The sequence below is a fragment of the Homo sapiens genome, chromosome 16, assembly GCF_000001405.40.
Source record: "Homo sapiens chromosome 16, GRCh38.p14 Primary Assembly".
In the NCBI taxonomy this organism is placed as follows: Eukaryota; Metazoa; Chordata; class Mammalia; order Primates; family Hominidae; genus Homo; species Homo sapiens.
Window position 1 is genome coordinate 19,438,115 of NC_000016.10, and position 21,801 is coordinate 19,459,915.

The 21,801-nt window shown below is 44.6% G+C and overlaps 1 protein-coding gene across 5 annotated transcripts in view; it reads left to right on the plus strand.

Moving 5' to 3' along the window:
- TMC5 (transmembrane channel like 5) overlaps positions 1-21,801 on the plus strand; it is an 88,575-nt gene that overhangs the window by 27,576 nt on the left and 39,198 nt on the right. For 4 of the 5 annotated variants that reach the window (NM_001308161.1, NM_001105248.1, NM_001105249.1 and 1 more), the window contains exons 3-5: positions 1,846-2,712; positions 5,967-6,136; positions 11,428-11,517. In NM_001308161.1, the coding sequence (NP_001295090.1) occupies positions 1,925-2,712; positions 5,967-6,136; positions 11,428-11,517 (1,048 nt within the window). In that variant the 5' untranslated portion in view covers positions 1,846-1,924. Of the gene's footprint in view, positions 1-1,845; positions 2,713-5,966; positions 6,137-11,427; positions 11,518-18,346; positions 18,903-21,801 lie in introns of those variants that run through there. The other variant, NM_024780.5, reaches the window with a different exon arrangement.

The following is a 21,801-nucleotide window of genomic DNA, read 5'->3' on the forward strand; positions in this document are numbered from 1 at the left end:
GGTGCAGTGGCTTACGCCTGTAATCCCAGCACTTTGGGAGGCTGAGGCAGGAGGATCACTTGAGCTCAGGAGTTCAAGATCAGCCTGGGCAACAACATAGGGAGACCCCATCTCTACAGAAAATGAAAAAATTAGGACCACAAGATGCATGCTTGTGGTCCTAGCTACTCAGGAGGCTGAGATGGGAGGATCGCTTGAGTCCCAAGAGATCGAGGCTGCAGTGAGCTATGATTGTACCATTGTACTACAGCCTGGGTGACAGAGTGACACCCTGTCAAAAAAAAAAAAAAAAAAGAAGAAAGAAAAGAAAAAGAAAGAAAGAGAAAGAAAGAAAGAAAGAAAGAAAACTCAACCAAGCATGGTGACTCATGCCTATAATCCAAGCATTTTGGGAGGCCGAGACGGGTGGATCACCTGAGGTCAGGAGTTTGAGACCAGCCTGGCCAACATAGTGAAACCCTGTCTCTACTAAAAATACAAAAATTAGCTGGACATGATGGTGCACGCCTGTAATCCCAGCTACTCAGGAGGCTGAGGCAGGAGAATTGCTTGAACCTAGGAGGCGGAGGTTGCAGTGGGCCGAGATTGCACCACTGCACTCCAGCTTAGGCTACAGAGTGAGACTCCATCTCAAAAAAAGAAAAACGAAAAGAAAAGAAAATTAAAACTGCATCACCTCTTATTTCAAAGTGTTAAAAGAAAAACTTTAGACAAACTAGAGGTAACAGGGTTTAATCAAACAAAGAATGATTTGCTAATGGGACAGCCTCCCCAGCCAGAATAGGTTCTGAGGGACTTAGGTGCTGCCACATGCTGGGTCAAAGAAGATTTATGGACAAGAAAAGGGAGATGACATAGAAAAAATGGAAGTGAGGTTCAGGAGCAATGGATTGGTTACAGCTCAGCATTTGCCTTATTTGAACACAGTTTGAACAATTGGTTGCCTGTGATTGGCCAAAATTCAGTGATTGGTACAAGAGTAGGTTATAGTCTGTTGACACCTCTTAGTTAGGTCACAGTTCATTATGTACAGAGAAATCTTTAGGCCAAACTTAAAATATGTTAGGAGGTAGCTTTGGGCTAAATTTGACAAAAGTATCCTGTGGTCTGTGGATCAGAGCTGGTGGAGCTCATAAAATCTTATTTTCAAACTGGAAGGGGTCATAGCAATTGTCTACTTACCCTAGTCCTCTAGTTTCCATTAACCATTCTTCTTTTATGCACTTATATTAATTTATGCTTTGAACCCTAGAACCTCAAGTGTAATCAAAAAGCACAAAAAGTCCTTGTTTCTTTCAATCCTTTGGTTCACTGGTCCCCTCCCCCATAACCAAGGGAATATATTGTTCAAGATGAAAGCTTAGTTGCATGTGTTAAAGACCACAAAAACAGTGGTTTAAACAAGATAATTTTATTTCTCTCTCACATAATAGTCTTAGCTGATACAATGGCTGTGCTCTGTGAAGTCACCAGCAACCCAGCATCCTTTCCTCTGTTGTGCATTTATCCCAAATGCAGGTCTTGGCTTTGTGTGCATGACCCAAGATGGTGCACCGTCATTTCCGCATTCCAGCCCAGAGGAAGCAAGATGGAGAAAGGGAGAAATAACCTCTTTCCTCTAACAGCACAGCTGGGAAGTTGTGGGTATCACTGCTGCTCTCATCCCATTGACCATCCTCATGTTCATACCTTGGTGCAAGAGAATCTAGAAACATAGTCTTTATTCTAGGCAGTTGTGTACCTGACTACGAACGAAAGGAGAACAGATACTGGAAGATAACCAGCAATCTCTGCAGGGAAGAAAGGGAAAAAAATCTGACTTTTTCTTTTCTTCTTGTTTTTCAGGTGAAAAAAAAAAAAGATCCCTGAGTAATTGCAAATGCTGGGACAGTTTACCACTCCAGGGTGAAGAGTCCATACCAACATGTCTGCCTACTACAGGAATAACTGGTCTGAGGAAGACCCAGATTACCCTGACTATTCAGGGTCTCAGAACCGTACGCAGGGGTATTTGAAAACTCAAGGTTATCCAGATGTTCCAGGTCCTCTGAACAATCCAGACTACCCCGGCACCAGGAGCAATCCATACTCTGTAGCCTCCAGAACACGTCCAGACTATCCTGGGTCTCTGGCAGAACCAAATTATCCTAGATCTCTGAGTAATCCAGACTATTCTGGCACCAGAAGCAATGCATACTCTGCAGCCTCTAGAACAAGCCCAGACCATCCTACCTCTCTACCAGAGCCAGATTATAGTGAATTTCAGAGTCATCCCTACCACCGAGCATCATCCAGACAACCAGACTACCCTGGATCTCAACGAAATCCTGATTTTGCAGGCTCCAGCAGCAGTGGAAACTATGCAGGCTCCAGAACACATCCAGATCATTTTGGCTCCTTAGAACCGGACTACCCTGGAGCTCAGAGCAACTCTGATCATCCTGGACCCAGAGCCAATTTGAACCATCCAGGATCCAGAAAGAATCTGGAACATACAAGTTTTAGAATCAATCCATACGCAGACTCTCTGGGAAAGCCTGATTATCCAGGCGCTGACATTCAACCTAACTCTCCACCCTTTTTTGGGGAGCCAGACTATCCCAGTGCTGAGGACAATCAGAACTTGCCAAGCACTTGGAGAGAACCTGATTATTCAGATGCTGAGAATGGTCATGATTATGGCTCTTCTGAGACCCCAAAGATGACCAGGGGGTAAGTTCAGATATATATCCCTTCACTGGGAGTGGATGCTGAGTGCTGAATCATTAAGTCAATGGAATTTGGTTGGTGTGGTTTAGATTAGGGATATATATGACGGTTTCTATGACCTGAAGTTGTGGTGAAATGCGCATACCTATCTGTAGACCTTACCTGGGCCATGGACTCTCAGTTTGAGGCTTCAAGCCCTTACTTGAACTTAATCTTTCACCATCTCTTCCTTGGATCACCTTCCCATTATCCCACCTCTTCCTAATTCAATCCCTGTAAGACATCTAGATCCACACTGTTTTGACCCTGCTACGTAGCCAACAAGGTTAAGACTTGACGCTCATAAATCCAAACACTTTAATTAAAATTACATCAACAGTGATGAATTGTTATCCAGAAAATCTTTTGGAGATCTAACTCCGTGAAGTCGATTAGTTTTTTATATGAGATGTTTGCACCACTTCTTTGTTTTTTTTTTTGGTCATTTTTTTTTCTTATTTTTTTTATTTTTCTTGAGACAGGGTCTTGCTATGTCACCCAGGTTGGAGTGCAGTGGCACAATCATAGCTCACCACAGCCTCAACCTTCTGGGCTCAATTGATCCTCCCACCCCAGCCTCCCAAGTAGCTGGGACTACAGGTGTGCACCTATTATGCCCGGCTAAGTTTTTATTTTTGTATAGAGATGGTGTTTTGCCATGTTGCCCAGGCTAGTCTTGAAGAAGGCTCCCAGCTGCTGGGATTATAGGCATGAGCCACCATGCCCGGCCATGTTTGCACCACTTCTGATTTTTACACTTTTATTTCTATTTTACTGAGATTATCAGAATTGATGACTTTTCACCAAAACTTTACTGCAGATTTGATTCACTGATTATCTGCACTATTTTAATCTAATTTTATCAATTATAGTTTTCACCATTTTCAGTATTCCTTTAAGGCCGGTTTTTTGTTGTTGTTGTTTTTTATTTATTTATTCATTCATTCATTCATTTTTTGAGATGGAGTTTCGCTCTTGTTGCCCAGGCTGGAGTGCAATGGCACGATCACAGCTCACCACAGCCTCTGCCTCCCGGGTTCAAGCGATTCTCCTACCTCAGTCTCCTGAGTAGCTGGGATTACAGGCATGCGCCACCACGCCCAGCTAATTTTGTATCTTTAGTAGAGACAGGGTTTCTCCACGTTGGTCAGGCTGGTCTCAAACTCCCAATCTGAGGTGATCCACCTGCCTCAGCCTCCCAAAGTGCTGGGATTACAGGCGTGAGCCACTGCACCTGGCCTAAGGCCATTTTTAAGTAGCAAGTCCAGTTTTTCCAGGTTTAGATTCTGTAGATCTAAATTTTGTCTAAAAGATTTTGATCTTCTGTCAATTTTTGTTCCTTGACAAATTTTACCAAATGCAGTTCTGGACACCGACAGCATTAGTCTGGGTTACTTAGTTCTACCAAATCTAATTTTTCCTGGGTTAAGATTTTTCATGTTCACGTTGCCAACAAAATGTAATTTTTTTTTTTTTTTTTTTTTGAGACAGCGTCTCACTCTGTCATCCAGGTTGGAGTGCAGTGGCTCAGTTTTGGCTCACTGCAACCTCCATCTCTTAGGTTCAAGTGATTCTCCTGCCTCAGCCTCCCAAGTAGCTGGGATTACAGGCATGCACCACCATGCCCAGCTAGTTTTTGTAGTTTTAGTACAGACAGGGTTTCACCATGTTGGCCAGGCTGGTCTTGAGCTACTGACCTCAAATGATCTGCTTGCCTCGGCCTCTCAAAATGCTGGGATTACAGGCATGAGCCACTGTGCCCAGTCTAAGATGTGATTTTTTAAAGTCAGTTTGTGGTTTAATCAGTAACAATGTTTGTCATGTGAAGTTGTAACCAATATGAGTTTGATTTTGCATTTACTGTTTCTACTAGTAATATTTATGAATTTGATAAAAAACTGGTGGCTTGTATTTATCTCTAGGAACAAGGATATAGGACTTGGGCGTGCAGCAGTCCTGATGTCTTTAGAACCCAAATAGTAGGGTTAACAGGACCAGGTGAAAATGTCCTCCTTGGTCTTATCACCCACTGCCTGATTCATCATTCCAAAGCCCACCTTTGATCCTATCACTCCTTTGCTTTTCATCGTCCATGGGTCCCCATAACCTTTGGAGAAAGGCCACCCAACTTCACTTATAGAATGTTTATGAATAAGGATACGTCGTGTTAATGTAAGATGCCAGCCAAAGACCAGCCTGACTGATCTCCTCTTAAGTCTCCTGTCTGCCCCCTGCCTTGACCTTATACTCTAGGTCAGTGGTTCTTGACTTTGGCTGATCCTTAGCATTACCCAGTTATCTGGGGAACTTTAAAAATAATACAGATGCCTCAGTCAAACCTTCAGAACTTCTGATTCAATTCTCCAGGACAAGGCTTGGGAAGTGGTATATGTAGTAAATTGAGAATCATTACTCATCAGTTGATTTTCATAGCATTTCCTTTATATATTCAGCACTTTCTGGCCTCACACCTTTTTTTATGCTGTTCTTCATCCTTGGAATGCCCTCCCTTTATGTATGAATGTGTCTTCTCAATCCCTGCTCAGATGTATCTTTTCCATGCAGATTTCTCCCAAAACTCTCAGCAAGAATTATCTTTCCTCCGAACTCCTTGGGCCTGTCTTCAGATACTCACCAGTTTCTACTTGTAGTATAATTGCTCATAGCTGTGTCTAAGAAGCTGTACCAACTTGTACTGTGAGCTTCTTGAGGGCAGGTACCCCATGTTTTCCTCTTTGTATTCTCACCTTCTAGCCCATGCCTAACTCAGGGTTGGCATTTAGTCTGCATTTGTGGAATGGAATGGAATGGATGGATGGATGAATACATTAATGAATGGATGGATACATGGATGGATAGATGAATACATGGACGGATAGATGGATGGATGAATGTATGTATGGTTGGATGGATGGATGGTAAATGGATGGATGGATAAATGGATGGATGAATACATGAATGAATGGATGGGTACATGGATGGATGGATGAACAGATGAATCAATGGATGGATGAATGGATGGATGGATGGATAAATGGATGGATAAATACATGATTGAATGGATGGATACATGGATGGATGGATGGATGGATGGATAAATGGATGGATAAATAAATGGATGAATACATGATTGAATGGATGGATGGATGGATGGATGGATGGATGACAATCCTTACTATACTCTTGGTTGGATAGTGATCCATCATTTTGGATTTTAGGGTGCTCAGCAGAACATCTTCAATCCAGCCCTCATTTCGTCACAGGAGTGATGACCCCGTGGGCAGTCTTTGGGGAGAGAATGATTACCCTGAAGGCATTGAAATGGCATCCATGGAGATGGCAAACTCATATGGCCACTCTCTGCCAGGTGCTCCTGGAAGTGGCTATGGTAAGCATTTGTTAAGCCAGGATCATATCCTGGGAAAAAACTGAAATCACTGGATTTAGGGGTGCAATCATTAAGGAGACTTGGCAATAGGAGAATTGGTGTATCCTTCCAATCTCAGAGACCCTTGTTTTTACATACAAAAGTTGAGAATTCAGTGTTTAGAGAAGCCAAGTTAATTGTCATCAATTATAAAAAAAATGCTAGGTAAGAGTTGTGGAAAATGGGGACCTGTGCACTCTGTTCCTACCAGAGTTGGTGAAGCTCAGTCCATGGTGGTTATGTGGCAATGTGGGCTCAATGTGGCAAGATCTTCATATTTTTCAGAAGCCGTGTATTTGGGGTTTTATGTGAAACCTGATGTTGATCTGTTCCAAAATAATTTTTAAAAGTAAAAACAGTGAGCTGGGCAAACAAAACCACATTTTTTGTTAGCTGCCAGTGGCCACCTGTAGTTTAGCATATCCTAAAGGCATTCAGGCAATCAGCACGTATGTGTTCAGAACCTACTGGGGGAAAAGGGAGTTAAGAGGTAGCTCTGCCCTCATGTTATTTAAAGCCTAAATAGGTCAACAAAAGTGCCACATCAAGACTAAAGAAAAGGCTGGGTGTGGTGGCTCACGCCTGTAATCCCAGCACTTGGGAGGTCGAGGCGGGCAGATCACCTGAGGTCAGGAGTTCGAGACCAGCCTGGCCAACATGGTGAAACCCCGTCTCTACTAAAAATACAAAAATTAGCCAGGCATAGTGGAGGGCACCTGTAATGCCATACTCGGGAGGCTAAGGCAGAAGAATCACTTGAACCCAGGAGGCGGAGGTTGCAGTGAGCCAAGATCGCACCACTGTACTCCAGCCTGGGCAGTAGAGCGAGACTCTGTTAAAAACAAACAAAAAAAAGACTAAAGAAAGTTAGCAAGCAAACTATTAATATTTGAAAAATCATGTTGTCCTCATAATTTGTTGTGTGTATAGATAAGATGCTTAGCTCCAGGAGGCAAAGGAAATTCTAAACAGTTTTTTTTTTTTTTAAGACAGTGTCCTGCTCTGTCACCCAGGCTGATCATAGCTCACTGCAGCCTCAAACTCCTAGGCTCAAGCAATCCTCCCACCTCAGCCTACCCAGTAGCAGGGACTACAGTTGCATGCCACCATGCCTGGCACTTTTTTTATGCTTGAGAAAGATGGGGTCTTGCTATGTTGCCTGGGCTGGCCTTGAACTCCTGGCTTCAAGCAATCCTCCAGTCTCGGCCTCCCAAAGTGCTGGGATTACAGGCTTGAGCCTGGGCCAATTCTGAACAGTTCTTACTTTCTAGGAGGAAAAAGAGACATGTTCCAGGAAGCCGTTTGATGGCACAAGAGAAAAAAAAAATCCAGGCCATGTTAAAGGAATTTGGAACCTGTGGAAGTCAGAAAAGGGAGAAGGTGTTCAGCCAATAAGAAGAGAACAAGAGACCCAAGTGCTGGGAGGTGCAGATGGAGGATTGATGAGCCTTGAGGAGTAGATGGGGCAGGTCTGGAAGAAGGCAGAGAGGAGGGGACAGGATGCATAGCCATGTACTAATGAAAACACTGACTGTTAACACATAGAAAATTTTCATTCCGGGCCTAATTTTAAAAATTAGCTGGGCGTGGTGGCACACACCTGGGGTCCCAGCTACTTGGGAGATTGACACAGGAGGATCACTTGAGCCTGGGAGGTTGAGGCTGCCGTGAGCCATGACTGTACCACTGCACTCTGGCCTGAGTGACAAAGCGAGACCCTGTCGCAAAAAAAGAAAGGACCGGACAGGACAGGACAGGAAAGGAAGGGAGTGGAGGGGAGGGGAGGGGAGGGGAAGAGTTGGGGGGAGGTGGAGGGGGAGAGAGGGAAGGAAGGAAGGAAGGGAGGAAGGAAGGAAAAAGAAAAGAGAATATTCCTTTGGGAGCACAGACATCAGATAGCCCAGGGCTATTCCAAACCTTTATTCCAAGCATTCCTCCACAGGGGCAATAGAAATCCCAAGGGGGGAATATCTGCTCTTGAAAGGCCAGAAAAAAATCTCACTCTTGATGTATAAAGCAGGGATACACATGTAGTACACAAACGGATACAGTATATCTTTGGTATTAAAACTTCTTAGAGGACGGCAATGAGGAAAAAATGTCTCCCCTGCTTAAGGGGCTGATAATGAAACAAGATTGAGACATACTGTGCTACTCCAGTGCAAGTGGAACGTATAACTGCAAGCAAATCTTGAGTGTTTCCTATGCCCTGGAGTCTCTGTCCAGCACTTGACTTTTATTATCTCATTTAATCTGTACAACTGCCTTTCAGGCAGGCACTGCCACTCTCCCTGTTTTAACAGATGGGAAAACTAAGACTTAGAAAGAAATATGCACAAGGTCACTCACTTACTAAATTGACAGAGCCAGGATTGAATCCCGTCTCTCTACCCAAAACCTGACCTCTTATTTACCCTGCATTACTGCTAGGTTGAATCAGGGCAAATACAAACAGATTCCTGACCACAAAGCTCTATAGAACATTGGAAGATAAAATACTTAAAAAACAAAAAAAGCAGGTCAGTATAGCTCACTTCTCTGGGATCTTTTGTAGGGCAAAGTTTGCAGCCCTTGGCAATCACTTGTCCAGTGTCACCCCATCCTGATAAAGTGTTCACTCCTTAAGGAGAACCTGTATTCATCTATGTACCCTCCAAGGCTCTAGGTGCTCTTCCTAGTGTCACAGTGCCTGGCCCACAGTAGGTGCCTGAAAAATATTAACTGAGTTAATAACAACAACAACAACAACAACTATAAGAGTTGTATCAGCTAGCTATTGCCACAGGAATGCTGCATAACAAACAACTCCAAAAATCCAGAGTCGTACAATAAACAAGCATTTTCTTCTTACGGGTCTGCAAGGTTGGTTGGCATTTGGCTGAACTACGCTGAGTTTGTTGTGCTTGGCTCTACGTCATGGGTTCTATTTAGTTCTAGTGTCCCTCTTCTTGGACCAGTGAGTGACCTAGGGCAATGTCTTCCCATGCCGTAAGCTGAAAGTGCTCAAAATGGCAAGCAGAAACACACGGTATCTTTAAAAGCCTTGGCTTGGAACTGGCACACTGTCACTTCTGTCATATTCCATTGTTCAAAGCAAGTCACACGACTAAGCCCAATATCAATGGAGGTAGTCAAGGTAGGGGAAATGTAATATTTGCTGAATAACAATTAATCTACTATAACAGTTAATATATATTAGAGTTTAATATGTTCGAGGATTATTTAATCATTTCACATGTGTTCACTGATTCAATTCCCACAACAATCCTATGTGAAGGTCCTATTATTATCCCTATTTATTTATTTATTTTTCAGACAAAATGCCCGCTCTTTAGTGCAGGCTGGAGTGCAGTGGTGCAATCTCAGCTCACTGCAGCCTTTACCTCCTGAGTGGCTGGGACTACAGGCACACTACTACCATGCCCAGCCAATTTTTTTATTTTTTGTAGAGACAGGGTTATGCCATGTTGCCCAAGCTGGTCTCAAACTCCTGTGCTCAAGCGACTGTCCCACTTTGGCCTCCCAAAGTGCCGAAATTACAGGCATACACCACCACACCTAGCCTGTTATCCCTATTTTAGAGACTAAGATATTGAAGCTCAGAGATGCTAAGACACACACCCAGGGGGCGCACAACTAGGAAGTAACAGGGCTGGGAGTTGATTCCCAGGCAAGAAGCTCCAGAAGGTCTTGCAATGTAATTTTGCATATTGTCCCCATTAAAATGTGCTCCATTTTCTCCATTTCTCCCAGCTAATTGGGAGGCTGAGGCTGGAGAATCACTTGAACCCGGGAGGCAGAGGTTGCAGTGAGCCGAGATTGCGTCACTGCACTCCAGCCTGTGTGACAGAGCAAGTCTCAAAAAAAAAAAAAAAAAAGAGTGGACTAGAGTAAGGCTATGTTAGAGTGCAGTTTATATAGTCAAACAAAGTATTATTTTGTAAAACTTGCTTTTCAGTTCTATATGTATAGGTGTGTCCTGGATCTCAGTGCAACCATTATTTACACACACACGCACACACACACACACACACACACTTTTTTACTGGGCTCCATGACTCAAGCCTGTAATCCCAACCCTTTGAGAGGCCAAGGCTGGCAGATTGTTTGAGCCGCCCAGAAGTTCGAGACCAGCCTGGATAACATGGTGAAACCCCCTCTCTACAAAAAATACAAAATATTAGCCAGGCATGGTGGTGCATGCTTGTAGTCCCAGCTACTCAGGAGGCTGAGATGGAAGGATTGCTTGAGCCTGGGAGGTCAAAGCTGCAGTGAGCTGAAATCGCACCACTGCACTCCAGCCTAGGTGACAGAGTGAGAACCTGTCTTAAAATATATATTAATATATATATTTAATGTAATTTTTTATATTATATTTTATATTAAAATATATATTTATAGATAATATATATATTTTAATATATTATATTTATTTTTATATTATATAACATATAAAATATAGATTACATGTAACATATAAAAATAAATATATTAGAAATACAAAAAATATATAAAATATATAGTATAAAATATATATTTATTTTTATATCATGTAGTTTATATGTATTTTTTTCTTTTTTTTTTTTTTTTGAGTCAGAGTCTCGCTCTGTTGCCCAAGCTGGTGTGCAGTGGCGCGATCTCGGCTCACTGCAAGCTCCACCTCCTGGGTTCATGCCATTCTGCCCCAGCCTCCCGAGTAGCTGGGACTACAGGCGCCCGCCACTACACCCGGCTAATTTTTTTGTATTTTTTTAGTAGGGACGGGGTTAGCCAGGATGGTCTCGATCTCCTGACCTCGTGATCCACCTGTCTCGGCCTCCCAAAGTGCTGGGATTACAGGCGTGAGCCACTGTGCCCGGCCACATATACATATATTTTTAGAGACAGGGTCTCATTATGTTGCCCAGGATGGTCTTGAACTTTTGGGCTCAAGTAATCCTCCCACCATGGCTTCCCAAAGCACTGGGATTACAGGCGTGAGCTACCTCACCTTGCCAACAATTATTTTTAACTATGGCTTAGTCAAATGAAAAACCATTGATCTAGGCTGATTATATTTAACAGCACTGTTTTTGTATTTTTGTCCTAGTTTCCACCCAAGTTCTTAATCAGTAGTCTGTTAGAACCTCAAAGACCAGGTCTCAGTCTTATTAGCCGTTACGAACCACTATTAGCACATCATAACTATTGCATGCCAGGAATGTCTAGTGTGGTGAGACTAATCGGCAATATCTCCTTCCTCTTCCCTCCAGTGAACCCTGCTTATGTAGGTGAAAGTGGTCCTGTCCATGCTTATGGAAACCCACCATTGTCTGAATGTGATTGGCACAAGTCACCCCAAGGTAAGTGATATGGTTTGGCTCTGTGTCCCCACCCAACTCTCATTTCAAATTGTAATCCCCATGTGTCGGGGGAGAGACCTGGTGGGAGGTGATTGGATCATGGGGGTGGTTTCCCCCATGCTGTTCTCATGATATTGAGGGAGTTCCCTTGAAATCTGATGGTTTAAAAGTGACAGCTTCCCCTGCACCCACTCTCTCTCCTGCCCCCATGTAAGATGTGCCCTTCTTTCCCCTATGCCTTCCACCACGTTTGTAAGTTTCCTGAGAAATGCCCCCCAGCCATGAGGAACTGTAAGACAATTAAACCTCTTTTGTCTATAAATTATGCAGTCTCAGGCAGTATTTTTATAGCAGTGTGAAAACAGACTAATACAGTAAGACTTAAAGGACAGTGACCAAAAAGTCAACCCTGGAGAAGGAACATGTCCAAGACAATCCACCCATTGCCATTTCCTTTGACCTCCAGTGTGGTTACTGATGCAGAACCTGCTTAACATATCATAATGGAGTTTTCTTTTAGATGTATAGTTTGTTGTCTTCTGGGGATCAGGGTGTCTTCATTAGGAATCTTCTGGTTGCAAGTGACAGAAACCCAACTCAAACAGGCATTAGCCCAGGGGGAATTCATTGGCTCATGTGGTAGAAGCGTATGGGGGAAACTTAAAGAAATGAAAGTAGAAGTATTAGTACCTTCCAGCACCTAGTACAGTGCCTGGCACGTAGTAGGTATTTTAGGGATATTTGTTAGATTAATTTGTTGAATGAGTACAGAAATCAGGACCTCAGTCTGAGGTCAGGGAACTCAATGTCACCTGGACTCTGGTTTCCCATCCATTTCTCATCTTTGTAAAACTTGCTTTTCAGTTCTGTATGTATAGGTATGTCCTGGATCCTCAGCACCTCTTTAAGTTAGACCTCATTCATCTCCGTCAGAGTCAGGACTTGTCCACAGGCCAGAGAACACGGCCAATAGCAGGCCCACGTGAGCCCTCTGCTTAGCCACCTCATTAGGAAGTCTTGCTTCCTCCCTGGGTCCATCTCTAATGCGGGGGAAGGACTCTGGCCAGTCTAACTGGAGCACATGCCTACACTTGAGCCAATCATTTTTACCACAAGGGACAAGACTGGGTCACCTGTCTATTCTGTGGCTAATGCCTGTGTTGGTGGGGACAAGATGCATTGATCAAAGTTTTTGTGAATATTCATATAATTATTATGATAATGGAGTGTGGAAGCAGTCAGACTGGTGAAAGATAGAAGGCGCTGCAATCAGTTAGGAAGCTCTCTAAGGATCACTGTGTGTGGTGATGAAGGTTGAATCAGAGGCAGAGACTGAAAAATAAAAAGGAAGCAACAAGCCAGGCACGGGGGTTATGCCTGTAATCCCAACACTTTGGGAGACCGAGGCGGTAGGATTGCTTGAGCCTGGGAGGTTGAGGCTGCAGTGAGCTGTGATCACGCCATTGCAGTCTAGCCTAGGTGACAGAGTGAGACCCTGTCTCAAAATCAAACAAACAAAAACAAAAAATGAAGCAACAGAGGAGAGAGACTAGACTAGGGAGTGCTGGAGCCACAAGGCAAATCTGTGAGCAACAAGGAATAAAGTAATGAGGTCCTCTATACAATGATGCGTGTGGAGAGAAGCCACTTAGAACTCTCACCTTTCAGCCCCATCGCCTATAAGATAACCGTTAGCCTCATCCTTCAAGAGATGTATGCCTTTTCAGGGAGGGTTAGATATTGCTACTTGGAAGGGAAAACCGTTGGGATATAAATGATCACACTGTCTATTTGGTCCCCACTGGGGCACAGAATGGCTTTAATTATCAGGGAGAATAAATATGTTTAAATGTTATGACTGCTCTGTCTTGCCAGCATGAGGTTTGGAGACTGTATAGAAAAAAACACACTCAGAGTGTTTTTTCTGTTCTCTTACTCAACAACCATCAACACAGAAGGCTTCTGTGAACAAATGGGTGGGGGTTTCTCCCCACACACCAAGAAAGCGATCAATTTTACAGCAGACATCGCTGGGTATCCTCCAATTCAATTCTGACACTATCTACCTGGAGATAGTGTCAGATCCCATAGGACAAAGGCGCAGTCCCCAAGACTATATACCTCCTTCAGACCCCAGCCACATGTCCAGGCCGCCGGAACTTTTTCTTTTTATTATTATTATTATTTTTAAGGATCTCACTCCGTTATTCAGGCTGGAGTGCAGTGGCACCATCTCAGCTCACTGCAACATCCGCCTCCCAGGTTCAAGCGATTCTTGTGCCTCAGCCTCCTGAGTAGCTGGCATTACAGGCATGCGCCACCACACCCAGCTCATTTTTGTATTTTTAGTAGAGACGGGGTTTCGGCATTTTGGCCAGGCTGGTCTCAAACTCCTGACCTCAACTGATCTGCCCACCTCGGCTTCCCAAAGTGCTGGGATTACAGGCATGAGCCACCGCACCCAGCCCCAGAACTTCTGACCAACCAGCTTCAAGTTGGGGTTCCCACGACCTCCTCCTTTGGTTTGGTTAATTTGCTGGAGCAGCTCACAGAACTTCGGGAAACTTATGTTTACTGGCTTATTACAAAGAATATTACAAGGGACATAGATGAAGAGATGCATTAGGTGAGGTATAGGGGAAGGGACACAGAGCTTCCATGCCCTCCCTGGGTGAGCCACCCTCCAGGAACCTCCCCGTCTTCAGCTATCAGAAAGCTACCTGAACCCAGTCCTCTTGGGCCTTTTATTGGGAGGCTTCATTACATAGACATGATTGACAAGCATGTAGAAATGAGACTGGATGGCCGGGCATGGTGGCTCTCACCTGCAATCCCAGCACTTTGGGAGGCCGAGGCAGGTGGATCACCTAAGGTCAGGAGTTCGATACCAGCCTGGCCAACATGGTGAAACCCCGTCTCTACTAAAAATACAAAAATTAGCCGGGCATGGTGGCATGTGCCTGTAGTCCCAGCTACTTGGGAGGCTGAGGCAGGGGAATCACTTGAACTCAGGAGGCGGAGAATGCAGTGAGCCGAGATCAAAGGGTGTATGATCTCATACTAATAGACAGGTTGGGGAAACCCAGAAAGCTGTGTCTGTTCAGATCCTTCTTGGGCTTTCTGTGCAGCATTCCTTCCTCCAGGGTTTGGGGCAGGACCCCTTCTGAAATGAGGGAGAATTTCTTTATGGCCAACTCCAAGACAGAAAGGTGGGGAAAGACTGGAATCCTGCCTTGGGGAGAAAATAGAGCAAATGAAAAGAGGCAGGAGATCAGAGAGAGAGATTCTGTTTTCTGAGGCTTAAAATTCTAACATTATAACAAGGGCTATGGTAGTTATGAGCCAGGAACCACGGGTGGGAAAAAATTATATATATATATTATATATATATATATCACAGGAACCCTGGTAGAAGAGGAGTCCCCAAAAGGCAGAGAGTAGTAAAGAAATAGAGGACCAAAAGATGAACCTGGCTGTCTTCATCATTTTGCTTTGTGTTGAATCTGATTCACAAACCACATGCAATTAAATAATAGCCCAGGCTGGGTGCACTGGCTCACACCTGTAATCCCAGGACTTCTGGAGGCTGAGGCAGGTAGATCACTTGAGTTCAGAGGTTTAAGAACAGCCTGAGCAACACAGTGAAACCCCATCTCTATGAAAAATAGAAAATTTGGCCAAGCATGGTAGCTCATGCTTGTAATCCCAGCACTTTGGGAGGCCTAGGCGGGTGGATCACTTGAGGTCAGGAGTTTGAGACCAGCCTGCCCAACATGGTGAAACTCCGTCTCTGCTAAAAATACAAAAGTTAGCTGGGCATGGTGGTACATGCCTGTGATCCCAGCTACTCAGGAGGCTCAGGCTGGAGAATCACTTGAACCCGGGAGGCGGAGGTTGCCGTGAGCTGAGATCATGCCACTGCACTCCAGCCTGGGCAACAGAATGAGACTCTGTCTCAAAAAAAAAAAAAAGAAGAAAAAAGAAAAATTAGCCAGGCCTGGTGGCGTGCACCTGCAGTGCCAGCTACTCTGGAGGCTGAGATGGGAAGATCCCTTGGGCCCAGGAGGCAGGCACTGCAGTGAGCCAAGATCACCCTACTGCACTCCAGCCTAGGGGACAGAGTGAGACCTTGCCTAAAAAAGGAAAGAAAGAAAAACAAAAGATAGCCTGATAAAGTATAGCTTTGATGAATTAATTATGCTGTGTCCCTAGGAAGCACCTGCCACATAGTGTGCGTGCTTATATTCATTCATTTATGAATGAATATTTTGAGATGGAATCTCACTATATTGCTCCGACTGTTCTCAAATTCCTGGGCTCAAGCAATCCTCCCGCCTCAGCCTCCCAAGTAGCTGAGAATACAGGTGTGAGCCACCACCTCAGTTGGCAAGAATGAATGAATGATACACCAGCATCTTTTTTGTTGTTGTTTTTGAGGCAGAGTTTCACTCTGTCCCCCAGGCTGGAGTGGAGTGGAGTGACCTCGGCTCACTGCAACCTCTACCTCCTGAGTTCAAGCAATTCTCCAGCCTCAGCCTCCCAAGCAGTTGGGATTACAGGCCCCTGCCACCACACCTGGATAATTTTTGTATTTTCAGTAGACAGAGTTTCACCATGTTGGCCAGGCTGGTCTTGAACTCCTGGCCTCAAGTGATCCACCCACCTTGGCCTCCCAAAGTGCTGTGATTAGAGGCATAAACCACCACACCTGGCAAGAATGAATGAATGATATACCAGCCTCTTGTTACAGGAAGGGGCCAGAGTGAAATGACTAAGAGTTCTGCTTTGGGTTCAGAGCAATCCGGATTTGACCCCAGCTCTACTGCTTGCTGGTTTTGTGACAAATTATTTCATGAAGCATCAGTTTTCTTAGCTATAAAATGGGGTTGATTTTAATATCTACTTCATAGCGTAAATGTTGTGCTCTATTTAAAGTACTTGGCCTGCAGTAATGGCAGGTATCATTACTGTTAATTATCACTGTTGGGAGAAGGAATACATGGGTTCTAGTTCAATTTTGACATTTAATGAAAGTGTGATGAGGAGGAACAGTGTCCGTTCAGCTCTCTGCACCTCAATTTCTACAACTATTAAATAAACAACTAGGCCTAGGTGATTTGAAATTAGATCTATTGGATAGGAATTGTGTTTATGTGCCTGGCACTGGAACAGAAATGTGGCTTAGCAATAAAGGGGTTTATTTTTCTCATGTACTGAGAAGTGTGGGTTAGGTGCAATGGTTCACACCTGTAATCCCAGCACTCTGGGAAGCCAAGGTGGGAGAATTGCTTGAAACCAGGGGTTCGAGACCAGCCTGGACAACAAAGTGAGACCCTATGTCTTTAAAAAAAAACAAATAGCTGGGCATGGTGGTGCCCCTGTGGTCCCAGATACTCAGGAGGCTGAAGCAGGAGGATTACTTGATCCCAGGAGGTCAAGGCTGCAGTGAGTTATGATCACACTACTGCACTCCAGCCTGGGAAACAGAGCAAGACCTCATCTCTAAAAAAAAAAGTTTAAAAATTTGTACTTTTTTTTACATGCGGTGGCTCATGCCTGTAATCTCAGCACTTTGGGAGGCTGAGGCAGGCGAATCACTTGAGGTCAGGAGTTCAAGGCCAGCCTGGCCAACATGGTGAAACCTCGTCTCTACAAAAAATACAAAAATTTGCCAGGCTACTCAGGAGGCTGAGGCAGGAGAATTGCCTGAACCCAGGAGGCAAAGGCTGCAGTGAGCCAAGATCATGCCACTGTACTCCAGCCTGGGCAACAGAGAGAGACTCTGTCTCTAAATAAATAAATAAATAAAAATTTTTAAAAAGCAAAAAAACAAGAAGCATGGAGGGAGGAAGTGCAAAGTTTGTACAGCAGCTCCACCCATGATGCCCTCAAGGACTGAAGCCCCTTCTGCAGCCTTTTTCTCTACCATCCTTAGCAGGTGAACGTTCGTTCTCTTCTTTTCAAAATGTCTGGAGGAAGACTGGTGAAGGGCAAATTGTGAACCCAGGCAAACTGTCCCCTTAGAAAGAGCATTCCTGGAAGCCACAAGTCTCATTGGCTAAAACTGAGTCACAGGCCCACCCTTAGCCGCAAAGAACACTGGGAAACTTTGAGCACTATGTCTGCACAGGAAATGGAGCTTTTGCTGGTGTGAGAAAGAAGAAGATTAGAGACTGAGAGCCAGACAAATAGCAGAGTCCACTACCTAAGGCATCAGGAGATAATAATTGTATCACTGTAAACCCATGTGGATTTCTACAGGCAGATAAAACTACAGATATAAAATATAAGTTCAGCCAGGTGCTGTGTCTCACGCCTGTAATCCCAGCACTTTGGGAGGCCGAGGCAGGAGGATCACGAGGTCAGGAGATCGAGACCATCCTGGCTAACGTGGTGAAACCCCGTCTCTACTAAAAATACAAAAAATTAGCCGGGCATGGTGGCGGGCGCCTGTAATCCCAGCTACTTGGGAGGCTGAGGCAGGAGAATGGCGTGAACCTGGGAGGTGGAGGTTACAGTGAGCTGAGATCGCGCCACTGCACTCCAGCCTGGGTGACATAGCGAGACTCCATCTCAAAAAAAAAAATATATATATACACACATTTAGAATATATATATGTATATTTAGAACATATATATGTATATTTAGAACATATATATATGTATATATATAAGTTCTAGGCCAGAGGCACTAAATTATAAAAAAAAATCTTGCCCTTTGACTATGAGTCATTTAGAAAAATATCTTCCTTCTGTTTCTAGAATCCCATTGTCTTAAATGAAAGATTCTGTTTTCGATTTCTTGCCTAGCTACCAAGACAGAATTCTCTGCAGGAAAACACTCCTTCTCCTGAGAAAACTCCTCAGGGGTTAGATGCAGGGAGTTATGTTGTGATTTGTGTAGGGGTGGCTTTGGTGAGCTCATCCTGGCATTTTAAAAATAATGTGAATGGTGTATCCCTTTGTGATCATCATCACTTTTTCCCTGCGAGTCCCAATCAATGCGGGTGTGACTGCTGTATGAAGTCTCAGGAAGCCCACCCCAGTGGAGAAGAAGGCTTGCAGGAGGCAGGAGATGCTGTCCGATGACCACGTGAATGAAATCATCATACAGGTTGAGAATGTTTCCTCTGGGGTCCAAAGCCACCCATCCTCAAATCAGATTTTTCAAGAAAAGGTGCTGCTAGACTCAAGCATCAACATGGTTTTGTCAATATCTGACATTGATGTGATAGACTCTCAGACAGTCAGCAAAAGGAATGACCAAAAGGGTAACCAGGTGCTGCGGTTTTCAACATCTTTGAATGAGTCGATGTCTCAGACCCTTCATAGCCTAGAATGCATGGGCATAGACACTCCTGGTTCTTCACATGAAACTGTTCAAGGTAGTGAAATGCTGGGGAAGAGAAGTAGGGGAGTAGGAAAAAAGGCTTCCTCGTTGTCCACAGCATATTTTACTTTTTAGATATCAAGTGGGGCCAGGCGTGGTGGCTCACACCTATAATCCTACGGCTTTGGGAGGCCAAGATAAGAGGAACACTTGAGCCCAGGTGTTCGAGACTAGCCTGGGCAACAAAGGGAGACCTCATTGCTACAAAAAAATTTAAAAAATAATAACCAGGCATGATGGTGCACACCTGTGGTCCCAGCTACTCAGGAGGCTAAGGTGGGAAGATCACTTGAGCCTAGGAGTTGGAGGCTGCAGCAAGCTCTGATGGCACCACTGCAACCCAGCCTGGGTGACAGAGTAAGATCCTGTCTCTAAAAGAAGGACATTGAGTAATATGGAAGGGCGGAAGGTTTTGTGGTTGAACTAAGGAAGCCAAGGACAAAGGAAGGGATCAATTTAAGACATCCCTAACAAGAGCTTATTTTTATCAAGCTTATTTTGTATGCCTTGTGCTCTGCAGAGCACCTGCTTTTTGTTATCCATCGAATTTTTATGTACTCCCTGCACTCCACACCTTTGAGGTGGCATTTCCGTTTGCTTGATGAGGAAACTGAAGCTCAGATAAATTTAGTGACCTGGAAGATCTGGGGCCCAAATACAGGTCTATCTGATTCCCAAGACTACATTCTTTTTTTTTTTTTTTTTTTTTTTTTTTTTTTTTTGAGACAAAGTCTTGCTGTCACCCAGGCTGGAGTGTAGAGGCACAATCTTGGCTCACTGCAACCTCTGCTTCCCAGGTTTAAGTGATTCTCATGCCTCAGCCTGCTGAGTAGCTGGGATTACAGGTGCATGTCACCACACCCATCTAATTTTTGTATTTTTAGTAGAGATGGGGTTTTACCATGTTGGCCAACCTTGTCTCGAACTCCTGGCCTCAGGTGATCTGCCCACCTTGACTTCCCAAAGTGCTGGGATGGATTACGGGTGTAAGCCACCACATCCAGCCTCAAGCCTGCATCCTTAATCGCTACACTGTCTCACTTTGGGCTAATTCCTCCTCACCCTGGTCAGGCAACAGATAGGATGTCTCTTGTTGGCAAGATCATCAGGAAACCAGATCTTAGCTGAGACCTTCCAGCCTCTCTGCTCCTGAGGCCAATGGAGATGCTGTTTCTTTTAATTTAATTTAATTTAATGTATTTATTTGAGACAGAGTTTCACTCTTGTTGCCCAGGCTGAAGTGCAATGGCATGATTTTAGCTCACTGCAGCTTCTGCCTCCTGGGTTCAAGCAATTATCCTGCCTCAGCCTCCTAAGTAGCTGGGATTACAGGCACCTGACACCACGCCTGGCTAATTTTTTTGTATTTTTAGTAGAGACAGGGTTTCACCATGTTGGCCAGGCTGGTCTTGAACTCCCGACCTCAGGTGATCTGCCTGGCTTGGCCTCCCAAAGTGCTGGGATTACAGGTGTGAGCCACCATGCCCGGCCCAGAGATGCTGTTTCTGTTTCACCCCCACAGTATTCCAGGCATAAAGTCAAGCAGCTCTCAATGATTTCAGGGAGAAGAAAAATATCCCTTTACTCACACAAAGCATTTAGTAGGTTTAGCCCCTTTACTGAAGAAGATTGGGGCATCACCTCTCACACTGCTGGCTCCCTGGATCTCTGTATATTTTCCTCTTCCATCTTTCTTCCTCTCAATCTACTCACCCTTCCTACCCAGGAAGAGGCACAAATTCCTCATCCTCAGCAGAGAGATTTGGTGGTCCTCTTTTGGGAATTCCCCTTACACCTCAAGTATGTCATTACGATGAACATTGTATTTCCCGGCGGGCCATTCTAACCCTGTGCTGTGACCAAGGAGCCAGCTTGCTCCCTCTGTCCCTCAGCCACCCTCGGCACGGTATCGCTGCCCCGCCTGCTGGCTTCTTTGCTACAGGATAGCAATAGCACTTCTCACATCACATGCAGACACAACAATAATCAGAGGAAGAGACATCTGTCTTTTTCTTGTTTTTTGCTTTTTTTTTTTTTGAGAAGGAAGAAATATTTTCCGAGAAATTTCTCAGCACACACCTCTCAGAGGACATTGGCTAATGCTGTGTCACATGCCTGTGCTTAAACCAGTCACCTGCAAGGGGACAGGACCGTGAGGATTGGTTCACTCAGACTAAAACTTGCTCTTTGGGCCTAGAGATAGGCTCCACCTCAAGGAAGCTCAGGGCCATGTGAGGGAGGCAGGTAGATTCCTAAACACAATTGGAATTCCATTAACAAGGAGGAAATGAATTTGGGGTAGACAATAGCATCTGCCACATTGACTGCAAATGTGAATATGAGTTAGCAGGAGAAAAGGAGGGTGTACTTCTAGGAAGGTGGAAGGGCATTCAGCGATAGTCAAGGAATGTGAGAAGTCTCTCGAACCTGGGGTCAGGGGCAAAAGGAAGTGATGTGGGATATTAAAGCAAGAGAGCCAGGCGTGGTGGCTCACACCTGTAATCCTAGCAGTTTGGGAGGCTGAGGTGAGAAATCTCTTGAGGTCAGAAGTTTGAGACCACCTTGGGCAACATAGCAAGACCCCATCTCTACAAATAATAATTTTAAAAAATTAGCTGGTTGTCGTGGTGTGTGCCTGTAGTCCCAGCTACTCTGGAGGCTGAGGTGGGAGGATCGCTTGAGCCCAGGAGTTCAAGACCAGCCTGGGCAATGTAGTGAGACCTCAGCTTTACAAAAAAATAAAAAAATTAGCCAGACATGGTGGTGCATTGTGGTAATCACAACACTTTGGGAGGCTGAGGTGGGAGGATCGCTTAAGTCCAGGAGATCAGTGTTGCAGTGGGCTGTGATTGTGCCACTGCACTCTAGCCTGGGTGACACAGCAAGATCCTGTC